At 36.4% G+C, this 25,244-nt stretch overlaps 1 protein-coding gene and 1 long non-coding RNA gene across 5 annotated transcripts in view, besides 5 other annotated features; one reads left to right on the top strand and one right to left on the bottom strand.

Moving 5' to 3' along the window:
• Window positions 1–17,297: 17,297 nt before the first annotated feature.
• Window positions 17,298–19,586, bottom strand: LOC105375154 (uncharacterized). Its single transcript, XR_927035.4, has 3 exons — window positions 18,395–19,586; window positions 18,068–18,186; window positions 17,298–17,908 (listed from the first exon to the last, which is right to left on the bottom strand). It is a non-coding gene; the product is annotated as an uncharacterized LOC105375154 (long non-coding RNA).
• Window positions 20,937–21,126: a silencer, noted in NCBI's record as "fragment chr7:12444224-12444413 (GRCh37/hg19 assembly coordinates)". NCBI's record gives its function as "represses an EF-1alpha promoter that drives an FKBP-Casp9 reporter gene in an ReSE screen in phorbol 12-myristate 13-acetate-treated (for megakaryocytic differentiation) K562 erythroleukemia cells {active_cell/tissue: K562(+PMA)}" and the evidence as "EXISTENCE:reporter gene assay evidence [ECO:0000049][PMID:32094911]".
• Window positions 21,438–22,003: an enhancer, noted in NCBI's record as "H3K27ac hESC enhancer chr7:12443347-12443912 (GRCh37/hg19 assembly coordinates)". NCBI's record gives its function as "activates a minimal SCP1, AML or CMV promoter by ChIP-STARR-seq in naive H9 embryonic stem cells {active_cell/tissue: H9 hESC(naive)}" and the evidence as "EXISTENCE:reporter gene assay evidence [ECO:0000049][PMID:30033119]".
• The window catches only part of VWDE (von Willebrand factor D and EGF domains), a 72,981-nt gene continuing 69,595 nt past the window's right edge, over window positions 21,859–25,244 (top strand). For all 4 annotated transcript variants that reach the window (NR_144534.2, NM_001346973.2, NM_001346972.2 and 1 more), the window contains exon 1: window positions 21,859–22,065. Coding sequence is in view for 2 of the 4 variants with exons in the window: in NM_001346972.2 (NP_001333901.1) it covers window positions 22,008–22,065 (58 nt within the window). In the remaining 2 variants the exon portion in view is untranslated. The remainder of the gene's footprint in view (window positions 22,066–25,244) is intronic.
• Window positions 22,004–22,571: an enhancer, noted in NCBI's record as "H3K27ac hESC enhancer chr7:12442779-12443346 (GRCh37/hg19 assembly coordinates)". NCBI's record gives its function as "activates a minimal SCP1, AML or CMV promoter by ChIP-STARR-seq in primed H9 embryonic stem cells {active_cell/tissue: H9 hESC(primed)}" and the evidence as "EXISTENCE:reporter gene assay evidence [ECO:0000049][PMID:30033119]".
• Window positions 22,007–22,301: a silencer, noted in NCBI's record as "tiled region #11821; HepG2 Repressive non-DNase unmatched - State 4:PromP, and K562 Repressive DNase matched - State 1:Tss". NCBI's record gives its function as "represses a minimal TATA promoter and a strong SV40 promoter by Sharpr-MPRA in HepG2 and K562 cells {active_cell/tissue: HepG2 | K562}" and the evidence as "EXISTENCE:reporter gene assay evidence [ECO:0000049][PMID:27701403]".
• Window positions 22,064–22,113: a silencer, noted in NCBI's record as "silent region_17978". NCBI's record gives its function as "represses an Ori minimal core promoter by ATAC-STARR-seq in GM12878 lymphoblastoid cells {active_cell/tissue: GM12878}" and the evidence as "EXISTENCE:reporter gene assay evidence [ECO:0000049][PMID:35858748]".

The raw sequence follows: 25,244 nt of genomic DNA, 5'->3' as shown, positions 1-25,244 counted from the left end.
TAAGGTTAGAAAAAATATTGGCCAAACTTTCCAAATTTGATGAAAGATACAAATATATACATCCAAGAGGCTCAATGAACTCCAAGAAGGATGAACACAGAGATCTACACTATAACATATTGTAGTTAAATTGCCCAAAGTCACAGATAAGGAATCTTGAAAGCAGCAAGGCAGAAGCAATTCATCATGTACAAGGGATCCTCAACAAGGTTAATAGCCAATTTGTCAGCAGAAATTATGGAGGCCATAGGCAGTGGCAATGGAATACTTATTCAAAGTGCTGAAAGAAAAAAAAATTTAACCATTAATCCTACATCTGGGAAAATACCTTTCAAAAATGATGGAAAATTCAGTCATTGCCAAATAAACAAAAGTTGGAGTATGTCAGTAGTAGACTTACCCTATAAAAAACGCTAAAGGGAGTCCTTTGGGTGGAAATGAAAGAATACTAGACAGTAAAAAAGCAACATGAAGAAATAAAAAACACTAGTAAAGGTAACTATATAGATAAATACCAAAGATAATGTTTTGTAATTTTGGTTTGTATGTTTCTTTTTGTATGTTTTAAAACACTTAAAATAATAATTATACATTTGCAAATTGGCAGAAATCTATATAGGTGTAATTGTAACAACTACATAAAAGAGGAGAAATGGACTGTATAGAGGCAGAATTTTGTGTACTATTGAAACTTGGTCTTAATTAAGTATAGATTTTTATAAGTTTAGGAATTTAATTGTAATTTCCAGGGTAGTCACTAAGAAAATAATTTCAAAATATATAGAAAATTAACAAGAAAGTCACAACAGTATGCTAAAAAAAAACCAGTTACATACAACAAGTAGGTGGTAATGGGGGAATTTAGTATATTAAATAAATAGAAAACAAATAGCAAAATATCAGAAGAAAGTTTCTCCTGATCAGTAATTACTTTAAATGTAAAAAGATTAAACTCTCTTATTAAAAGCAGAGATTGATGGAGTGAATTTTAAAATGGAGGTAACTATATGCTATCTACACGTGACTCATTTTTACATTCAAAGAAACAAATAGGTTGAAAGTGAAAGGATGTTAAAAAGATGTTTCATGCAATTATTAACCAAAAGAGATCTGGAATGGTTATACTATTATTACAGGAATATTAAGAAATTATTTTAGGCAGCTAGAAAGGGTAAAAAGTCCTCGGTAAGGCTTTTTCTCTTAATAAAAATATCAGCCCCAAAAACATTTCTTTCCTAACAGAAAGCAACCTGGAAAAACAGACTTGCAAGCATTGATATGCAAGCCACAGGCTTGCATATGTAAATGCAGGTGGCTAAGAGCCAGGTTCACCCAATATGGTGGTTCGGCTACTTTTTCTTTGTTATCAAGGGTGCGGACATCATGGTGGCCAGCCAAGCAGAGGCCACGTGTATGGGTATCACGGCGACCAGCCAGGTAGCCACATTTACATATTAAAAGGTTAGGGTGGGTGGGCCAGCTTTTTGCTGGCTACATGAATCACACACTTGGTCAAATCAATCCCCTGGGCCCTATGCAAATCAGACACCACCTTCTCGCGCCTCCCAGTATGACCGCCAGCTTTCTGCTGGCAGGCAGGGTTATTCTATTCGGAACCCTCATCCCTCTGTACAGGGGAGCTGTTCTCTTCTCTCTTGCCTATTAAACTTTCTGCTCCTTAATGCACTCCACGTGTGTCCATATTGCTAATTTTCTTGGTGTGAAACCAAGGACCCTGGGTGTTTCCCCAGACAACGGAGCCGTATCACTATCAGACAAAATGGTTATAAAACAAAAATACGTTACAAGCTACAAAGAAAGATATTATGAATTGATTAAAATGTCAACTCATCAAGAAGAAATTTGATATTGGAATGTGTTGAAATAGAGTAGTGGTGAGTCACTAAAGTTGGAGAATGAAAAGACGATGAATTCAGCAATATAAAAATGTCTTTCACAATCTATGTAAATAACTCAGAGATATTTCAGGTTCAAGGACAGAAACCTGTGGTCCAGATGCTGAAGTCCTCAACAAATGTAAGTAGGCAGAAAGTCAGTAATGAGAGGGGGTAAAAAGTGTGTTTAGTTCTCATGATCATCAGAGTTGGGAATCAGGATATTTTAAAGGGAAAATTTAATAAGAGAGACATTGAAAATTCAGGAGAATGCTGACACTGTAACTTTTCAAATTTGGTCTAACAAATGCTTTCCTTAAAACTGCAACGCTGAGTGCTTTCCTCGTAAGCAGTGTGGCCATACAGAGACAAGACAAGAGCGTAGAGTAAGGATTCAACGAAGAGTTTGAGGGTAAATGAGCTCAGTTATAGTATGGGGTTACTGAGGACACAAAGAACATTGCTGGGGAAAAAAGGATTAATTAGCAGAAGGAACAAAGAGACAAATGAAATAAGGGGGGGGCCACAGAAGGATTATTGGGTATGGCTAATATTTTGTTCAGGGGATTAGCTGGCTCCTTAACTTTGTCTTGGATATTGTCAGATGGCATTCAGCTTTCATTCCAACTTCCTGCTATTCTCCTCTCGTGTACCACAGCTGCTAAAACAATGAAATGCTTTGCGTCTACTACCTGCTCTAGGTAGTATTCCAGGTGCAAATTGGATTCCCACCATTTGACTTACTCATGTGGAATTTGAGAGGCACATGTGAAGCCATGTTCATCTTCTTATGTGTCCATACAGAAAAGACTATGGAAAAGTAGGTTTTCTGTAGCAGTGCTCCATTCCAGTGCCCCGTCTTCAGTTTCATGTATGTCTAGAGGTATTTTAGTAAGGGTGGTGGCCAGATTCTGTTCCATTTTCCATTCACCAATGTTATAGCCACTGAGAGCTGTGTGAGTGTCTGTCTGCAGGGGCATTGAGAATTTCATCACATTCCTGACAAGGGCAGAGGTAGTAGCTCTCGTATCAGGTCAGATCTTTCTGCTCTGAAATGCCTGGGACCCAGATTACATTATGTTTCTCAGCCCTTGCAATAACTTCATGATCATTCAATCCTTCTATTAAATCCCTTTCTACTTATAATATCACAGTGTTTGTTTCCTGCAAGAACTTTGACTAACACAGCTTTCTCACTATTTTTAAGTGACTCATGCATTATCATCTCTGTCTCAGTTACAGTACTGAACAAATCATGGCCTGTATAAGTAAACAAAATATAAAAATATTAATATTTCAATTTATTTGAAATTTTAATGCAATTAAGGGAGGTAAAAATTTAACTGTGTGTCCAATTTGGCACCTACTCTATTGCTTTTAGAGATTATCATTAGCAATAGGTCATACTGATTTATAAGAACTGATCACTGTTTGGAATTGGGGTTTAAAGAGAACTATTAAAAAGATTTTTTTCCTGCTAGTACTCCCAGGAATCTTCTTGTTCATATCCTGCCTCTATATAGTGTGCTATACATTTGATTTTAAGAAATGAAATCTGAACATAATAATTTATATTCTTTTGAAACCTTTCTTCATTTAATTCAGATAATATCCTCTATCATCTACAAAATCCTTTTATTATAGTGTGTTAGTGACATAGGCTTTTCCATGACAGCCTGGAGTTGAAACTATTATTCAATAGAAACAATTTGTGGTTCTGAAAATATAATGAACAGGAAACTCAGTTCCCTAGTGCAAGACTAGGAATCTTCTTTGGTAGTTAAAGGAGAAGAAAGAGGTCTTTACAAAGGCTTCATTTTATTCGAAGTCTATCATTAAAGCTGTTGCTCAACATGACAATTTACAAGAACCTGCATGTTTCCTCAACATGACAATTTTGTTTGGTTTCATTTTATAGTAAATTATGTTTGTCTCTGTGCTTATTTTGAGTTATAGTTTCTTCCTCATCCAGGTTGTGTCAGAATATTAAAGGTGAAACTGAGATACAAAATGTTTCATGCTCACCTGGCAGATAGGCACTCCTATATGATTTGATTTCACATGGAGAGCTACAATCTCATCCTTGGACACTTCTACAGAAACTCATATTGTTATTTTTTCTTAATTGCAAGCTAAAAAATTTTAGAAACAGTTCTGATTTATGTGAAAATTTTTGGAGATATTTATTCTATAGACTCAGAAAGACACAATACATACATGTGCATGGTCACACTTACCCATTGAAGCTAATTAGACCTGCATTTTTCTCCCTACCTCATATCAACATTTTAATTCCAAACTAAAATTTAATAATAGCTCTATTTATCAGGTGATTACCGTATGCCAGGAACTGGGCTAAGTGCTTTTCATTCATTATTCCATTTAATCCTGACCACTGCCCTATGAGGTTTGCATTCATTTCTCTTATGTTACAAGTGAGGAAGCTGAGACATAACAGGGTCCAGAGCTGACATTTCCAGACGAGGTCTGCCCAACACAAAGTCAGCACCCATAATTGCTACGTAATTAGCCCAGTTTTCTTCCAAAATCGAAGACGATGTGCTAGTGAAAGTGCATTTCGACAATGGGGTCAGAGATCAAATGGCAGCCTTACTCAAGAAATGACAATTTCTGGCCGGGCGCGGTGGCTCACGCCTGTAATCCCAGCACTTTGGGAGGCCGAGGCGGGCGGATCACGAGGTCAGGAGATCGAGACCATCCTGGCTAACAAGGTGAAACCCCGTCTCTACTAAAAATACAAAAAATTAGCCGGGTGTGGTAGCGGGCGCCTGTAGTCCCAGCTACTCGGGAGGCTGAGGCAGGAGAATGGCGTGAACCCGGGAGGCGGAGCTTGCAGTGAGCCGAGATCGCGCCACTGCACTCCAGCCTGGGCGACAGAGCGAGACTCCGTCTCAAAAAAAAAAAAAAAAAAAAAAAGAAATGACAATTTCTTTGGAGACCATTATTCTAAGTGAAGTAACTCAGGAATGGAAAACCAAACACTGTATGTTCTCACTCATAAGTGGGAGCTAAGCTGTGAGGACACAATGGTATAAGAATGATACAATGGATTTGGGGGACGTGAGGGAAAGGGTGGGAGGGGAATGAGAGAAAAAAAGACTACACATTGGGTACAGTGTACACTCCTCAGGTGATGGGTGCACCAAAATCTCAGAAATCACCACTAAATAACTTATTCATGTAACCAAAGACCACCTGTTCCTCAAAAACCTATTGAAATAGAAAACAACAATAACAACAGCAGAAATAAATGACAATTTCTGTTCTTTCATCTCTTACCAATAAAATGAGGACTTTGATCTTGAGCAGAGGTTGCTAATTGGCAGCTGCTCCCTAGAGTTGCTTCTTAGGTCTGAACATTTCTTTTTTCTTTGTTTTGAACTAATTGCCAAATTTCACAATTGGAGTTTTTCACAAATGTAAAACATTAAAATTCAAAAAGAAAAAAATGTTTTGGCTTTTATTAAAAAAAGATTATCTGGCAAAATAGACCCAAATTCTGTCAGTACAACAATCAGCGGGTGGTAGCAGCTGTTCCCTTTATATGGCCAATGCATTCTTCATGCCATAATCCCCACCTCTCCCAGCTGCCTTGCACCAAACCATTGACACACATTTGTCCCCTAACTTGCCTCTGTGGACATCTAGATATCCATCCTACCCTCCAGCCATTTCTCAAACTTGTTTCTGCAGAGCTGGCAAAGCCTTTGATACATACACTTTTCTTTACATAGATTATTCCTAATCTTAAAATTAATCTAGATGACTTTTCCAGCTCTAAAATAGGTAACTTGGATTCAGATACAGATTTTTTTTGTATTTTTATTAGGCAGATTAGAAAATGCAATATTAAGGTAGGTTTGAAATGAGTTTCAATTTAAAAAAATCATGTATTTGGAAATTAAGGAAGAAAATTTGCTATGGAAGGCAAGTAGATAACAATACAAGTAATCTTTCAGGGATCCATGCAGGATCTGCAAACTATGGCTCACAGGTAAAATTGACTGCTGTCTGTTTTTGAGAATAGTTTTATTGTAACAGCCATACCCAGTCATTTATATATTGGCTATGACTGTGTTTCCTGTACAATGACAGAGTAAAATAGTCCCAACAGAGACTATAGTGTCTACAGAGCTTAAAATATTTACTATCTGGTCCTTTGGAGAAAAAGTTTGCCAAACATAGAGAAAAAGTTGGGCAGTACCCATAGATCAATGGTTCTGGCTCAGTTTGGAACTAAGTATTTAGACTTGCTAGGGCTAAGTGATGACTAGCATGGTGATTACGACCATTTAGATCTCATATTTCTAGTTGGTATATTTGCTCTGTCACAAACAACTGAACAGGATATTTCAGTCACTGTGCTTGTAAATAATACAGAAATATACAGAAAGTATCTCTGTTAACCATTCAGTATTTGACAGACATTATGCTAAGTATTATACATAAATATATGTTGCATATATTTATAATTTTATTTAATGTTTACACCACACCAATGATAGGTACCAGTATATTTTCATTTTTCAGATATTAATAGCTTTCATATCATGCTTAATGTCACATTTACACTTGGGCATCAATGTAAAAAGGTAGGGAGTCATAAGAGCATATGATAGGAGGGGGGCTTTTACCCAGGCTTTGTGTTCAGGATAGTTTGCTAAAGGTGATGTATTGGCTAAATTATAAGAGGTGAGTAGGAGAAAACAGGAGAGAGGGAAACAGAGACAGAGAGAGAGAAAACAAAAAACAAAAAACCAGAGAATGACAGTGAGAGTGAGAGAGAGAAGAGAGAGTGAGAAAGGGAGAGAATTCGTAAAGGCCATATGCCATCTCTAAGTTTCCTGAACATTTCTTATAATTTCATTTTCTTGGGGCTACAATGAAAATATATACTGAGTTAATGGGTTTTCATTGATAGGTACATGATAGATAATAACAATAACAGAAGCTTCAGCCATTTATTGGACAAGTTCCTCATGCTGTACATGCTACAACTTCATGTGTGTTGTTGGGTTTAATCCACAACATACATTTATTAGACAAGCACTGTTATTAACTATTTTAGACATAAATAAAGAAGTCAAATGTAAATCAAGTATCTTGCCCAGAGTTAACTGGGTGAAAAGTGACAGAGCCAGCTGTCAAAACAAAAGTCTGATTTCAGGACTTGTGATTGTAACCACTGCACTGAACTTCCTCACATTGTTCAGTCTCTTCAGTATAGTGCAGTAGCCCTCCTAGCAATGGGGTCCTGGAAGGTGACTTTTCATGTTGAGATTTCACATTCTCCAAATGTGAGGATATATTGGGTTCAGAGAATCAGCATCTGTCTTAAAGCCTTTCATTGGGTAGAATCTCAATGCCAAATGCCTTCCTGTGCATCATGTGGGGTCAACAGATTCACAATATTAGATTCAAAATATTATGTTACAGAGGTGAGTATGGCCATCAATTAGATAATCTTGAACACTTCTCTATTTTGGTATTAATTGATTATGAGCCTTACTTTACTAATCAAGAAATAAATTTTATGAGTTGTTAAATAACTTGCCTGAAGTTATCTAGTTTTTAAAGTACTAGATCCCAATCTTGAATTCAGGTTTGCCAGTCCAGTAATTTTTTTTCATCTAATGAGAATTCACATATATGCACTAAATATTAGGAAATCCAGGAATTTAATTAAACACGCTAAAGCCTTTGGTTTTCCATTTAGTGTTATAAGCAGTATGAGAAGTCTGAAAGGGTTGCTAATAGGCAAATCATTCATGTAGAAAAATAGAAATATCAGCAATTTTGGCAAGATATTCAGGTGCAATATTTATAAGAGTTTTAGAATATATTAGAGATTAACTTCAAGATATGTCATTCAAATTTTACGCTAACAGAAATCTTTAAGATATTTCACTTAACTTTATTTCATGTAATATCAAATGGAACCACAAAAGACACCAGATAGCCAAAGCAATCCTGAACATAAAGAACAAAGTGGGAGGCGTCACATTACCTGACTTCAAAAGATACTACAAAGCTATAGTAACCAAAACAGCATGATACTGGCATTAAAACAGATACATAGACCAATGAAACAGAATAGAGAACCCAGAAAAATATCCATACATTTACATTACATTCCACTCATTTTTGACAAAGGTGCCAAGAGCATACATTGGGGAGAGGACAACCTCTTCAATAAATGGTGTTAGCAAAACTGGATAGCCATATGCAGAAGAATGAAACCAGACCTTTATCTCCTACCATATACAAAAATGAAATCAAATGGATTAAATACTTAAATCTAAGACTTGAAACTATAAAACTGCTAGCAGAAAACATTGATAAAATACTCAAGGACAATGCTCTGGGTAAATATTTTTTAAGGAAGACCTCAAAAGTCCAGGCAAGCTGAGGAAAGAGAAAAATACAAATAAGACCTCAAAAGCCCAGGCAAGCTGAGGAAAGAGAAAAATACAAATAAGACCTCAAAAGCCCAGGCAATATAGGAAAAATAGAAAAATAGAAAAAATGCTTGATCGCATCAAGCTAAAAATCTTCGGCATAGCAAAGGAAACAATAAAGTGAAGAGAAAACCTACAGAATGAGAGAAAATATTTGCAAACTATCTATCTGACTAAAGATTAATAACCAGAAAATATAAGGAACTAAACAGCAAAAAAATACCAAAGTCTGATTAAAAAATGGGCACAAAAAAAACCCTAAGTAGACATTTCTCAAAAGAAGACATACAGATGGCCCACAGGAATATGAAAAAATGCTCAACAACACTAATCATCAGAGAAATGTAAATTTAAAAAAATTAGATATCATCTCACCCCAGTAAGAATGGCTATTATCAAAGAGACAAAGAATAATAAATACTGGCAAGAATGGAGAGAAAAGGAGAACTCATATACTGTTGGTGGCAATGTAAATTAGTACAACCACTATGGAAAACAGGATACAAACTCCTCAAAAAGCTAAAAACAGAACTTCCATATGATTCAGCAAGCCCACTACTGGATATACATGCCAAAGAAAGGAAATTTATATTTTGAAGATATATTTTTATTCTCAGGTTTATTGTAGCCAAAAATTCACAATAGCCAATATTTGGAATCAACCTAAAGTACCCATTACTGGATGAATAGATAAAGAAAATATGGTATATATACATTATGGAGTACTATTCAGCCAGGAAAAGAATAAAATCTTGTCACTTGCAGCAACATGGATGGAACTGGAGGTCATTATGTTAAATGAAATAACATAAAGACAACTATCGTATGTTCTCACTAATACGGGAGAGCTAAGAAAGTGGATCTCATGAAGGTAGAGGATATTTTGGTGGTTACCAGAGGCTGAGAATGGTAGAGCGGGGGAGTGAATAAAGAGGGGTTGATTAATGGATACAAAAATGCAGGCAGATAGTGTAATCCCAGCTACTCCGGAGACTGACGCAGGATAATTGCTTGAACTTGGGAGGCAGAGGCTGCAGTGAGCTGAGATTGTGCCACTTCACTCCAGCCTGGGTGACAGAGGGAGATTCTGTCTCAAAACAAACAAACAAACAAACAAACAAACCATGCAGGCAGATAGAAGAATGTACCTAGTGTTTGATAAATTAATAGAGTGATTATAGTTAACAATAGCCTACTCAAAATAGCTAGTAGAGAATAATAGTAGTATATTCCAGCATAAAGACAGACAAATATTTAAGGTAATGGATACCCCAGTTTCCCTGATTTGATTACTATGCGTTATGTGACATGTCAAAATATCATATGTACTCCAAATACGTCCATCTATTATGTATCAATCAAACAATTAAAAAAAAACAAAGAAAACAAAAAACATCAAATGGAGTGCATTGATATTTTTGAGGTAATCAGTTTTTTAAAAAATACTTAATATAACATTTTAGCTAATACAGTTTCAAAATTAAATAGTGGGAAAAAAACAATACCTAATGTTTTAATAAAACCATTTCTGAGGAATTTTTATTTTGGAAAAGAATACTTAGAAGCTGAGAACAAATGTATGATATGCAAAATTTTTTTCCATATTAAAACAAGTTTGTTTGGAGTACACTATGGAAGTTTTTTTTGTTTTTGTTTTTGTTTTTGTTTTGAGATGGAGTCTTGCTCTGTCACCCAGGCTGGAGTGCAGTGGCGTCATCTGGGCTCACTGCAACCTCCATCTCTTGGGTTCAAGCGATTCTCCTGCCTCAGCCTCCCAAGTAGCTGGAACTACAGGCATGTGCCACCATGCCCGGCTAATTTTTATACTTTTAGGAGAGACAGGGTTTCACCATGTTGGCCAGACTGGTCTCGAACTCCTGACCTCAAGTGATCTGCCTGCCTAGGCCTCCCAAAGTGCTGGGATTACAGATGTGAGCCACCACAACTGGCTGGAAGTTTCTTAAACAATTAAGGAAAGATTTTTCAGATGACACAGTCACTTCACTTCTAGAAATCTACCCAAAATAATAAACATATAGGTTCACACAAAGACTTACATTTAAATGTTTATATCAGCATTATTCATAATGACCAAAAAGTAGAAAGAACTCAATATTTTCATTAACTAATGAATGAACAAAATGTGATCTAACCATACAGCAAAATATTACTTACCAATAAAAAGAAATAAAGCACTGATAAATCTATAACACAGACAATCTCAAAAAGTGAAAGAAGCCAGACACAAAAGAACATGTATGATTCCATCTATATGGAATGTCCAAAAAAGAGGCCAATATATAGAGAAAGATTATTTGTTGCGTAGGATTGGAGGGTGGAATGGGGAATAATTACAAGTTGGCATGAGGTTTATTTTTAGTGCTGAAAATGTTCCTTTTTTTTTTTTTCATTTGAGACAGGCTTTTGCTTTGTTGCCTGGGCTGGAGTGCAGTGGCACAATTTGGGCTCGCTGCAACCTCGACCTCCCAGTTTCAGATGATCCTCCAACCTCAGCCTCCCAAGTAGCTGGGACTACAGGCACATGGCACCATGCCCGGCTAATTTTTGTATTTTTTGTAGAAGCAGAGTTTTGTCTTGTTGCCCAGGCTGATCTCGAACTCTTGGGCTCAAGTGATCTGCCCACCTCTGTCTCCCAAAGCGCTATGATTACAGGTATGAGCCACCAGGCCCAGCCAAAAATGTTCTAAAATTAAATTGTGGTCATGTGTGGTCAGCTCTGTAAGTATACTAAAATTCATCGAGTAATACACCAAAAACGGGTAAATTTTATTTTATGTAAACTACATCTCAACAGAACTTTAAAAAAATGAGGTTGTATATTCTAAAATATCTGGCTCATTTCAAATTGAATTAGGGTGGGTTTTTGGGTCAGCAGGACAAAATTAAATATGCTTATATTTATGAGATTGTTTTGTAACTATAACTATCCATTTCTAGTTGCAAACTATCCATTATATTACAAGTTATAATTATGAGATTCATAATGCTTTGTGATTTAGAAAGTGATGAATACATAAATCATATAAACAAAACAGAAATGTCACATAGCTTTACCACCTGCTACAATGTTTTATTTAAGGCTTGTAGAAGAGTAAATAACATTCAAATAAAGCCATGACACTAGCCAGAAACTTTGATTTCAAAGGTATTTTCTAATGTATACTTCAGATGCAAACAGTGTTACTTTCTAGTATACATAGAGATGGCTGTTGAAAGGGAAATATACATCTTTTCCATCTACATTCAAAGGAACTTTAGTATTCCAATCTCATTTTAAAATCACAATGTGGAAAATATTAAGTTGAAATAAGTTAATTTCTTTATTAAGAGAGCCATTTAAAAATTGCTTTTATTAAATAAAAATGTCAAAAACAAAACATCTGAAAAGTAATTTCTTAGTCTTCTGCAAAACATTTGGTATCATTGGGTTTATTTTTCCACATTCAAATACTCCAATTTTATAGTAAAAAGAGCCTATTGCAATTATATAGTACAATTCTCTTATTTTGCTGGTGTGAAAACAATGCATTAAAGGTTTCTATTAATTTTTTTCCTGATAAATAAAATTTATGTTTCTACTTTTTGAGCTAGCTAAATACTAGTACATTAATGTGTTTGTGGTAGATAGCTGAGGTTTTGAAATCCCAGCTGTGGTAGACCAAATAACAACCTCCTAGTCCCCAATATGTCAAGGTGTAAATCCCAGGAGTTTGTGAATACGTTATTTTACATGGTAAAGGAACTTTGCTGATGTGACTAAGTTAAGAATTTGAGACGGGAAGATTATCCTGGATTATCCAGATAAGCACAGTATAAACCCAAGTTTCCTTATAAGAGAGAAAAAGGAGGATCAGAGTCCAAGAGTGATTTAAGGAATAAAACAGAGGTCAGGGAGGAGAGACGATACTATGTAGCTGGTTTTAAAGATGAAGGAAGGAGTTATGAACCAAGGAAAGCAGGAGGCCTCTAGAAGCTGGAACAGGCAAAGAAAGGAATTTGTTCCCGGGAGCCTTCCGAAGAAATGCAGGCATGTTAACACCTTGATTTTAGCCCAGTGAAATTGACTTCAATCATTTATATTCAATATGTATTGATAGCCAAAACAATTAAGAAAAAGAAATAAAGTGCATCCAAATAAAAAATAAGTAAAATTATCTGTTTGCAGATGACACATTTTATATAAAAAACCTAAAGCCTCTACTAAAAAACTGTTAGAACTAATAAATGAATTCCATAAAATTGCAAGATATAAAATTAACAAACAAAAATCAGTTGTGTTTCTATACACCAATAAAGTATGAAAAAATTTTTTAAAAATCCCATTTACAATAGCATCAAAAAATAAAATACTTAGAAATAAATTTAGTCAAGGATGTGAAATACTTATATGCTTAGAACTATAAAATATTGATGAAAGAAATTAAAGAAGATAGAAATAAATGTGAAGATATACCATGTTCATGAATTAGAAAAATTAATATTTAAAAAATATTCATAATACCCAAAGCAATCTACAGATTCAATGCAATCCTTATCAAAATTCCAATGGTATCTTTCACAGAAATAGAAAAAAAGCAATTCTAAAATTTATGTGGAACCACAAAAAACTCCCAATAGCCAAAGGAATCTTGAGCAAGAGGAACAAAGCTGGAAGCATCACACTGCTTACCTTCAAAATACATTATAAAGCTATAGTATTCAAAACAGTATGGTATTAGCATAGAAACAGACATATAGACCATTGGAACAGAATAGACAGCCCAGAAATAAATCCACCATTTACAGTCACTTCATCTTTGACAAAGGTCTCAAGAACACACAATGGGAAGGTATAGTACCTTAATAAACGATCTTGGGAAAACTGAATATCCACATGAAGAAGAATAAAATTGGACCCTTATCTCACACTATACACAAAATCAACTCAAAATGAATTAAAGATTTAAGACCTTAAACTACTAGAACAAAATATAGAGGAAAAGTTTCTTTCTTATTGTATATATTTAAGGTGTACAACACTATGCTTAGATATGCATATACATAGTGAAATGGTTACTATAATTAAGCAATTTAACACATTCATCATCTCAGAAGTTTACTTTTTTTTTTTTTTTGAGATGGAGTCTCACTTTGTCTCTCAGGCTGGAGTGCGGTGGTACCATCTCCACTCACTGCAACCTCTGCCTCCCAGGTTCTCCTGCCTCAGCCTCCCGAGTAGCTGGGATTACAGGTGCCTGCCACCATGTCCAGCTAGTTTTTGTATTTTTAGTAGAGACAGGGTTTCACCATGTTAGCTAGGATGGTCTTGATCTCCTGACCTCGTGATCTGCCCAGCTCGGCCTCCCAAAGTGCTGGGATTACAGGCAAGAGCCACCGTGCCTGGCCCAAGTTTACCTTTTTTTTTTTGTGGCAAGGGCACTTAAAATTTGCTCTTTCAACAAAAATCCTGAAGACATCAGTATTATTAACAACAGAACTTATGTTGTACATTAGACCCCTACAGTTCATCCTACATACCTGCAACTTTGTATTCTTTGATCTGCACATCTCCTTATGCTCCCCTCTCCTCTGCCCCTAATAACTACTGTTTTATCCTCTCTTTATTTTTTTAAGATATGACATATAAGTGAGATCATTCAGAATTTTTCTTTTTGTGTCTGGCTTATTTCACTTGGTCTGAGCAATAATTTTTTGCCTATGACTTCAAAAAGTAATTTGTTCATTTTTGCAAGGCATAAAAAGCAAAAATAGACAAATAAGATTACATTGAACTAAAAAGCTTCTGTACAGCAAAGGAAACAATCGGCAAAGAATCAACCTGAAAAAATGAGAGAAAATATTTGCAAACCACTCATCTGATAAGGGGTTAGTATCTAAAATATATTAAACATAAGGAACTCAATAGCAATAGAAGAAATAACCCAATTAAAAAATGGGCAAAGGATCTGGATAGACATTTCTCAAAAGATGACATCCAAATGGCCAATATATGTATGAAAAAATGCCCAACATCAAATAATCATCAGGGAAAGGCAAATCCAATTCACAAAGAGATTTCACCTCACATCAGTTAGAAAGGCTATCATCAAAAAGACAAAACATAAAACGTGTTGGCAAGAATGCAGAGAAAAGAAAGCCCTTGTATACTATTGGTTGGAATTTAAATTGGTACAGCCATTATAAAAAACAGCATGGAGGTTCCTCAAAAAATTAAAAATAGACCTACCACATGATCCAGCAATCTCACTACTGGTTATATAACCAAAAGAAATGAAATCAGTATCTTAAAGAGATATTTACTCCCCTGTTAATTGCAGCATTATTCAAAATAGTGAAGATACGGAATTAACCTGTGTCCATCAACAGAAGAATAAATTTTAAAAATATGATGTGTATATACATATATATACAGTGAAATATTTTTCAGCCTTAACAAAGAAGGAAATCCTATTATTTGTGACAACATGAATGAACCCAGAAGACATTATGCTAAGTGAAATAAGCCAGGCAGAGAAAAAAATATATTGCATGATCTCACTTATATGTGGAATCTGAAAACATCAGTTAAACTCAGAAGCAGAGTGTAGAATAATGGTTGCTAGGGGTTGTTGGGGTGGAGGAAATGGGTGCTATTAGTCAAAGGGTACAAAGTTTCAGTTACACAGGATGAATAAATTCTGGGGAGCATGGTGACTATAGTTAATATACTAACATACTATACTGTATACTTAAAATTTGCTAAGAAAGTAGATCTTAAGTGTTCCCACCACACACAAAGGTTCACTATGTGAGGTGATACATATGTTAATTAACTTGATTCTGTAATCATTTCACAATGTACATGTTTATAGAAATATCATGTACAAATGGGGAGATGGTAGTCAAACAAACAGCATAAACAATTTTTATTCATCAATTATACCTCAATGCTGAGAAAAAATAAAAGTAGGAAATAATAAAACAAAATAAACGACAAATAATCAACAAAGTAAAGAAAAAAGAAACCCATTTCATACTTCTGACTTCCAGATATATAAGGTAATATGATAAAATAAACAAGTAAAAAATTGTGTTGTTTGAAGCTACAAAATTTGTGGTAATTAGTTAAAATGGCAATCAGAATCTAACATAGTGTTTGAAGGACTAAGAACCACCATCTAAGATAGTAAATGTATCCTGAATACTAATTTTCTAACCAAGTCAATTGGCGTGTTTCTGTTGAATTGATATTTAATTTAAAGTACAGTAAAATTAGAGTCAGAGTTTCATTTCTTCTTTTAATATGGACATTGTTAGAACTCTATCCTTAAAAATACTAATCTTAGATTCGTTCATGTCACGGATACTGCGAGGTGAGTAAAAGAACCATGACCACTATCTGTATAGACCTTATATTCTAGTAAGAAAACAAAAACAAAAACAAAAAAACAGACAATAAGCAAGGATACAGATTAAATATTTAGTTTAAGTTCTAAAATGGAAACAAATAGTGTAACGCTAGAGAATGACCTGGGGTAAGGAGCCAATTTAAACAGGGTGTTCAGGAGGCGAAATTCAGCTGAGACCTGTAGGATAAACAATCAGTCCTTCCAGGGGCAATGGTTGCCTTCTTTTAGGAACTTTTAGGAACGTTCACAAGGCTAGTGAGTTGAAGTATAGCACATATGAGAGCTGAGGAGGGAGAGTGGGAGTGGGAGAAAAGCAATGTATTTGAGTTTGAACAGGTAGGCAGGGGCTAGCTGTTGCAGGTAACAGTCCTCTGGTATTTTTACCCATTATCTATGGGAGGCCAGTGAAAGGTTTTAGGGCAGGGACATGGTGTGATTTACAGTTTGAAAGCTCATCCCGGTATTATATGGCAGAGATGTAGATTGAATGGGGCCTGAGTGAAGCTCAGAGAAAAAATGTGGTATTTTCTGCAGTGATCCACGTAAGTCATGGGGAGGCTTGACCAGCAGAGTGGCAGAGAAGACACAGAACAACAGGTGAGTGTGAGATTTCTTTGGACTCCTTATTCATGGATTGAATACAAAGGAGGAGTCATGAATGAGAGAGAAGGGAGGAGCCTCATGCCTTTTTCCTAGTTGGTGACGAGGGATACTCAATAGTGCCATTTTCCAAAACAGGGAAGACTAAAAGAGGAACCAGGTTTAAAGGGGCTTTCTAGGAATAACTAAATAAGTGATTGCTTTAATTCCTTTCCTTTAAAAATTACATTTTTCCCCCCTAATTCTTGATCAGTATGAAGCAGATATATCACAGGTAAAACATTTTTGTAATGCAGATTTTAGGGCATTCTCTTTTCAACTATCAACTGTTTTTCTTTATTACTATGTTTAATGAAACAAAATTGGTTCTCTCTTCATTCCTATCCAGCTTTTTCTCATTCATTTTCAACACTTTTAAAAAGAAGGAACTTTTAAATGCAGAAAAAGGAAAGAAACTATAAGACAGGAAGTTCAGCCTATGAATGAGAATTAGAGATGGGGTATATTTGGCAAATATTACTTATTGGGCTTCAGTACCACTGAATCTTTGTCTTTTCTGTAGCTATTTTCAGTTACAATCTCTATAACTGTCTACAATGAAGTTATTAATCATTTATAGGTGGTCATCTGGCTAGTTGGAAGGAAAAGCCAATGGTATTCTAGACTTTCTAGCACTGAATAATCTTCTTGTGAAACATATTGAGCTTGTCATAACAAAATCAGCTTAACTGCTGATTTTCTTTCATTCTGCAATGAACACACCATACTTTTCCCTGAAACTTTTTGATTGGATAGCTTCTATGTGGTCAAATGATGAGTCCATTTCCTCCTAAACAAACCACTGTAAGGTTTCAATACAAATCTCAAGTGCATTTTTCTGTTTCTTCTGGCAAATGCATAAGCACAACCAAATATTTAATAATTTATACAGTTTATATTTTCAAACAGGTTTTAGACAATATTCTTTTGTTTATAAACAACAACAGCAAAACAAATTCAAAGTCACTTAACCTTAATTTATAGGCAGTGTATTGGGGGTATCTCTTTTTTTTTTTTAAATTTGTTGTTTATTTTTTAATTAATTAATTAATTTTTTACATTTTATTATTATTATACTTTAAGTTTTAGGGTACATGTGCACAATGTGCAGGTTTGTTACATATGTATACATGTGCCATGTTGGTGTGCTGCACCCATTAACTCATCATTAGCATTAGGTATATCTCCTAAGGCTATCCCTCCCCCCTACCCCCACCCCACAACAGTCCCCGGAGTGTGATGTTCCCCTTCCTGTGTCCACGTGTTCTCATTGTTCGGTTCCCACCTATGAGTGAGAACATGCGGTGTTTGGTTTTTTATCCTTGCGATAGTTCGCTGAGAATGATGGTTTCCAGTTTCATCCATGTCCCTACAAAGGACATGAACTCATCATTTTTTATGGCTGTGTAGTATTCCATGGTGTATATGTGCCACATTTTCCTAATCCAAAACAGGAAACATAGGCAGTCCTCGAAAGATTCTGGAGCTGTTGAGTGGAAAGCCATCAGGAATTAGCATATCTCTCTTTCTGTCACTGTCTGTCTGTCTCTCTTCCTCTCTGTCTTTTTGTGTGTGTGTGCACGTGTGGACGTGTATGAGTGCTTTTCTCTGTTTCTCTATTCTCACATGTTGTTTCTCACCTCACCTTCATTTTGGTCATCCACTTTTGTCTTTTTCCTCCCTCAGCTGATCAGTTTTCATTACTTGACCACACTTATAGCCACATTCAATGAGTCCTCAACGGTGTCCATAGGTTATTGAAAACTGCGATGTAAAGTGAAACAACATGTAATGAAACCAGTTTTACTACAGACAAATTGATATCAACATGAGTTAAATTACTATACCATATTTCTGGTCACAAAAACATCACCAACTTCTAAAAAAAGACCAAAATACTTCTAATATTAAACAGTAAAATAAACTATACATACATTGAGTAAAGATTAATGAAAACAAGATAATTATTTACCTCCTTACTCCAGTTCAGGATCACAGGTGGCCAGATCCTACACCAGGAGCTCAGGGCATGAGGTGTAAACCAGCTCTCTTCAGGAAGCCATCCTACCGCAGGGCGCGCTCACATACCCAACCACAATCACTCAAGCAGGGCCTATGTAGACATGCCAATTCACCCAACACACAGAGAGTTGAGAAGTGGAGGGAAACGGGAGTACCCAGAGAAGACCCACATAGACATGGAAAGAACGTGCCAATTCCACATAGACATTGGCCTCTGCTGGAAATCGATTTTTTCCATCAGTGTTATAACAAAATAACGTTAAACAAAATGACCAAGGACCTGCTGTATGTTTTAGCCTCTGCTTCTGAGTGTACTTGTGTTCAGCTCAAGTAAACCCCAGAAGCAATCCTATCAATTTTACATTTCTGGAAAAGGGCTCACTCATTTAGTAAAACATGGGATGAGGAATTCATATGTTACATAAATATGTATTTTCCAGGAAGGTTACTCCAAACTGTGCAGACACTGTAATAGAGTAGTGCCAAGAAATGATGCACCTTTATATAATAAGACATAAGAGAAAGTATAATTATGTAGAATATTACCCTAGTTCTAATAACAGTAAACTGTTACATTCGACCATAATAGCTACTTTGGACCAAATGCTATTCTGAGTGCTCTTTCTCCAGATGCTCTTCCACGCTCCCAGCCACACACAGGCATGCACATACACTTTTGATTCTTTAAGTCTATGGGGTACTATTATTGTCATTTCTATTGTACAGAAAAATGAGGTTAAGAGGAGTTGAGTGTGCTGTTCAAGGTTACACTTCTGATAAATAGGTAGCAGATCTAGAATTACAGCCCAGGTGTTTTTAACCTAGGATTTGTGGACTTAATCACTGGGTTTTTCTGCCCCTTGAATTTGGTATTTTTTTTCACTCAAGCCCATCACTTTGTAAATTAACCTGACAAAAACTGAGTTATCTCCTTTTCCTAGAAAATTATCATTTGAAAATTTTCTCCTGTTAATCTTTTAATTTAAGCTATATTGTACTTATTAGCACTTGGCTTCATTTCTTCTTCCCTCTGACATTCTTATTATTTGTCTCAGTGATATTTACTGCATTTTACAAGTGCTGTCAGTCTCTATATTGCGGGGTACCATGCATCCATTGTTTTTAATGTTCAAAAATATAAAAAAGAATCTTATACCAATTTTTGATTAACTTCACGAGACATAGATTAAAACATTTTCATTACTTTTTGTTTTCCATACAGTTCTATAACTAATTTTTTTTTTTTTTTTTTTTTTTTTTGAGATGGAATCTTGCTCTGTCGCCCAGGCTGGAGTACAGAGGAGCTATCTTGGCTCACTGCAACCTCTGCCTCCTGGGCTCAAACGATTCTCCTGCCTCAGCCTCCCGAGTAGATGGGACTACAGGCGAACGCCACCACGCCCATCTAATGTTTTGTATTTTTAGTAGAGATGGGGTTTCACCATGTTGGCCAGGCTGGTCTTGAACTCCTGACCTCAGGTGATCCGCCTGCCTCGACCTCCCAAAGCACTGGGATTACAGGCGTGATATAACCAGCATTTAATTGATACATTCTTGCAGATCCAAGCCAGGTTACTGAGACTTGAAAAAAAATTCTTAAGTTGCTTTTAGTTTTTTCCATCTTTAGTCACATGGAGGGAAGTTGGGTTTTGGCACAAGTTTATTGTAAACTCATAAACTCATAAACAATCAAAAACTGAAGAAAAAAATAAGGCCCACGATACCTGAAATTGTATTTTGATGGAAGTCAGATAAGTAATGTTGTCCTCCAAGAAAGTATAAAAGTTTACTACATTTGTATAGATACTGCTAGAAAATAAATTCACAAAAGTCCTGCTATGATTTGATTCACATCAAATTACTTTGTTCCTGGTGATTTCACAAATAGATTGAGAAAACTGACATTTAATTTCTTGTCTGTTTTATTAGAATTTTTTAAGCGGAAACAAAAGACTTAACTGTACACTAAGAAATCTCTGGGTTTTCATTGTGCCTACATTATATTGCCCTTCCATACTTAAGCCTTAAGATAAAAATCACCTGTCTACCGTCCACCAAAAAGTAATATTTTATTTTTAATCCAGAAAATTGGGTGCCCTTGCTGCATTTGAAAGATGGCTACACACAAGTATTGTGTACCAAAAAGAAATTATTTCCAATATGGGTTAATATTTTTACTATGGAGATGATAAGCTTTAAAATTTTAAATGGTAATTTACCTTTCAAATTAAAAATAAAGAATTATATGAAATTAAAAAAATACTTGTTTATGCATTTGGACACCTCCTGTTTCCACCACCATGCCTAGGCCAACCTTGAACCTCCAAATTTGTGGGTGGAACCTTGGTGCCCACTTGGACCCCCAAACTATCCTCTTCAGGTAAAGGCTCTGTGAGAACCAAGTGCAAGGTGATGGATGGGAGACTCAAGGAATGAGACAGCCAGGGAAAAACTAGGACAGTGAGGTTTCATTTTCAGACATAAAAAGATGTAGAATCAGTTGAAAAAAGGACCCTGTTCCTCTGCAGAGGCAACCACACTTCTGAAGACCTTAGACCTGGCACGGTGGCTCACGCCTGTAATCCCAGCATTTTGGGAGACTGAGGGGGAAGATCGCTTGACGCCAGGAGTTCAAGGCTCCAGCGAGCTGTGACTGTGCCACTGCACTCCAGCCTGGGTGACAGAGTGAGACCTTGTCTCGAACAAAACAAAACAAAACAAAAACGAGGTTGGGGGAAGACATTAGAGCCCTCTGATCTTCTAATAACTCCCAGGTCAACCTTGGGAGTCGTGTGGCCATGTGCTAAAGCGTCCTGGGACAACTGTAAGAGCTCTGGGAATCACTGGCAAATACAGGTGACAAACCTCATGGTTTGGCTAGTGTCTAAATGCGGTCCTTTCCACTTCTGAAAACCTGTCACAGAGGCAGAAGAAAAGGCATCTACTGTTGCAACGTTAGTGTCTACTCCTCCTCCTGTCGTTCATCACTGAGATCTAAGGTGACAGGAGCATTTTCAGCGCCTTCGCCTTGGGGTGCAAACCAGTAGCGCCCATTACGCAGTTAGGAATCCGTCTGCAGATACAATCATGGGAAACTTCCCCTTCCAACGGAACCTTGTGAGGCTTCTTTTATGCGAGGTCCATCTGAGCAGTTTCTAGGATTACCAAGTTTTCATACAGCCTCTGTTAGAACAGCAAGACGCAGCGGGCGGAGAGCTACATCCCTGTAGCTTGACTCCTGGCTGTGCGACTGCACGGTGACATCCAAGGCGGCGGAGCCACTGCCGGTACACGCTGGGCTATGGGGACAGGTTGGGCGTGGCTTTCAGGTCAGCCAGCAGCCAAAATGGGAAGGGAGGAGTCGCAGACGGATTACGCGAAGGCTCTATCCCACGAAAGGACTGGGTGCACCCCAGAACGAGGACGCGGAGCTTCCCTGTTCCAAGCAGCAACAGACTGAGAAAATCCAAGAAAGGAGGCCCGAGGGGCTGCTGTGGCCCCATCCTCCTGGCACCCGCGGCCCGGGCTCTGCGACGCCTTTCGCCCCACCTGCGGAAGCAGCGATGCCTGGCGGAGCCTGCGTGCTGGTGATCGCGCTGATGTTCCTGGCCTGGGGGGAAGGTAAGCGAGGTAGGGCGCGCGGGGGTGGGCGCGCAGTGGCGCCGCGTGGGCGGTAGAGGGACTAGGCTAGACTTTTTGGACGACTTGGGGAGCGTCCCTGTGCGTTTTAAGGCAGCAAGCGATGTTTGTTCCTCACCCGCCTCCTCTCTGTCCCTCTGCTGTCTTTGAAAAGGTCAATTTCCAGCTTGAAAACTCTACACTTTTCTTTTGCGCACATGCGGTTGTTGCCTCCTCTTACTCTACGACCCTTGGTTCTGTTTTTGGTTGTTTCCTGCTGTTATCCTGCTCTTTGAGGTCATTGTAATTTACTGTAAGAAACTTTCGCCGGATCTGCAAGGTATGCTAGCCGCAAGTGGACCTGAATTCTCAGAACAGAGTTGAATTCCATACTGCACGAATTCCACCTCCAACCGGACCCTCAGAAATAATTCATTGGTGAACATTTTATCCCTACAATAAATCACCAAGTTAAGTTTTGTATATCCGTATTATACTGTATTATGGTTTTTGTATATATATGTTAGAATCAGTTTTGGCACTGTAAAAGAGATCTCTGTGGAGCGAATACTCCCCTCCTACTTCTTTAATCCATGACAAAGAACATTTAGTTTAAAATACAGTGAAGTTAAACCAAAACTACTTTCATTAGCCCTTTTTGCTTGTTTTTTGTGTTCATACAGATAGGAATATTAATGAAAGGTGACTTGTTCTTATATTGCAAGTTTCCTTACGTTTTTCAGAAAAAGTCTGATCTGTGTTCAACCATCTGCAGCTTGAAAAAACATTATGTACAACATTTATAGCAGTCCAGGGTATAGTTTTGTCTTATCATTTTTTGATCTTAACTCATTTTACTGATGTAAGTTTGCTTTGTATAAGGGGAATACAAACACTATCCTATACAAAACTTAAAAATAAAATACTAAAATCAAATTTATTATTTTCTGCAATGATATTTTTTCTGGTCCTTCTTTGGTTTGCTTACAGCGTTACTAAATCTTTATGAATAACTTTAAAAAATACATGTAATAACATATATCTGTTCATTACAGTTAGATAAATATTTCCAGGAAAAAAATGACCAATGTTTATAAAGGAAGATGATTTCATGTTTACTATAGACCGCATAACCCTTTTTTGCCTCTATATAATAGCTTTGTAATCTCTCTGCTGAAGACAAATATTACCCATTACCAGGTTTTAAGTTCATAACATTGGTAACATTGTCAAGTTCTTTATGTTTAATGGAGTAAAACTAGAAGACGAGGTAAATGGAAAATGCATTTATTGAGACTTCTTTTTTTCAAATAGCTTTATTAAGATGTTCATATACCATACAAATCACTCAAAGTGTGCGACTCTATGGTTTTTCATTTTCACAGATATGTGTATATTCAGAGTATATTTACAGGTATATGCAGCGATGACCACAGTCAATTTTAGAACATATTTATCAATCAGAAAGAAATACTATACCCTGGGCTATCATGCCGCATGCCGGCTATCACCCTCCCTTTCTCCCCAGCGATAAGGAATTACTAATCTACTTTCTGTCTCATTGCATTTGCCTATTCTGGATATTTTATGTAAACTGAATCATATAATAGGTTGTCTTTTGTGACTGGCTTACTTCATCTAGCACAGTATTATCAAGGTTCATTCATCTTGTAGCATGTACCAGTATTTCATTCCTTTTTAAGATAGAATAATGTTCCATTGTGTGGATATACTATATTTTGTATGTACATTCATTTGTTGATGAACATTTGAGTTGTTTCCACCTTTTGACTATTATAAATAATGTTGCTATAAAGCACCGAGGTACAAGTTTTGTTTGGATGTATGTTTTCATTTCTCCGAGATATATGCCTAGGAGTGGAAATACCGGGTCATAGGGTAACTCTGTGATTAACTACTTAAGGAACAGCCAGGATGTTTTCCAAAGTGGCTGTGCTGTTTTGTATTTCTGCAACAGTGTGTAAAGCTTCTAACTTCTTCATGTTTCCATCAACACTTTTTATTAACTGAGATTTGGATTCTACCTATCCTCGTGGTTGTGAAGTGGTATTTCATTGTAGTTTGATTGTCATTTTCCTAATGGCTAATGATGTCAAGCATTTTAATGCCCTTATGAGAAATTTGCTTATTCTCTTCAGAGAAATACTCAGATCTTGCCATTTTAAAAAATGAGTACTTGGCCTTTTTCTTATTGAGTTGTATAAGTTATTTGCATATTCCAGATATAATTTTCTTATTGGATATGTGATTTGCAATTATTTTCTCCCATTCTGTGGGTCGTGGAAATAATCCCCTGTGGATACTGAGGGGCTACTATACTTTAGTTTTTTTAGTTGATTCCTTAGAATTTTCTATATGGAGATGGTATTACTTATTCCTTTCCAATCTGGATATCTTTTATTTATTTATTTTGGTTAATCCCCCTGGGTAGAATTAGCTATTCTAAAGTACAATGTGGCATTGAAAAGGTGAGAGTAGACATACTTGTCTTATTCCTGATTTTATAGGAAAGCATCTAGTCTTTCTTCATCACATAAAATGTAAGCTATGGGATTTTCGTATATATCCTTTATCAAGTTGAGGAAACTTCCTTCTATTCCTAGTTTGTTGAGTGTTTTTATCATGAAAAGGTGTTGGATTTTTAAAAATGCTTTCCCTGTGTCTGTTGAGATGAACATGTGGATTTCAGCTTTTATGCTATCTATGTGGTTTATTATAGTAATTCGATTTTAGTTATTAAACCAACCTTGTTTTCCTGGAATAAATCTCACTTGGTCATAATTTTTCTATATGTATGCTTTATGTTCCTGGATTCTGTTTGCTGAAAATTTTTTCACTCATATTCCAGAGATGTATTGGTTTATAGTCAGCTTTTCTTGTTATATATATTTCTGGCTTTCCTGTCGGGGTAGCCAGGATAATGGGCTATAATACCGGGCTCGTACAATGAGGTGGAAAGTGTTCCATCTTCTTCTATTTTTTGAAAGTGTTTGAGACAAATTGGTGGTAATTCTTTTTGAAATGTTTGGTAGAATTTAGCATTGATGCCATCTGGGCCAGGTCTTTTCTTTGTGGGTAGTTTTTTGACTGATTTGATATTTTTACTTGTTATAAATCTATTTGGATTGTATTTTTCTTCTTGAGTTGGTTTTGCAGCTCCT

The sequence above is a fragment of the Homo sapiens genome, chromosome 7 (assembly GCF_000001405.40).
Source record: "Homo sapiens chromosome 7, GRCh38.p14 Primary Assembly".
Classification (NCBI taxonomy): Eukaryota; Metazoa; Chordata; class Mammalia; order Primates; family Hominidae; genus Homo; species Homo sapiens.
The sequence above is the reverse complement of the archived record's forward strand: the minus strand, read 5'-3'. Positions and strand labels throughout refer to the sequence as shown.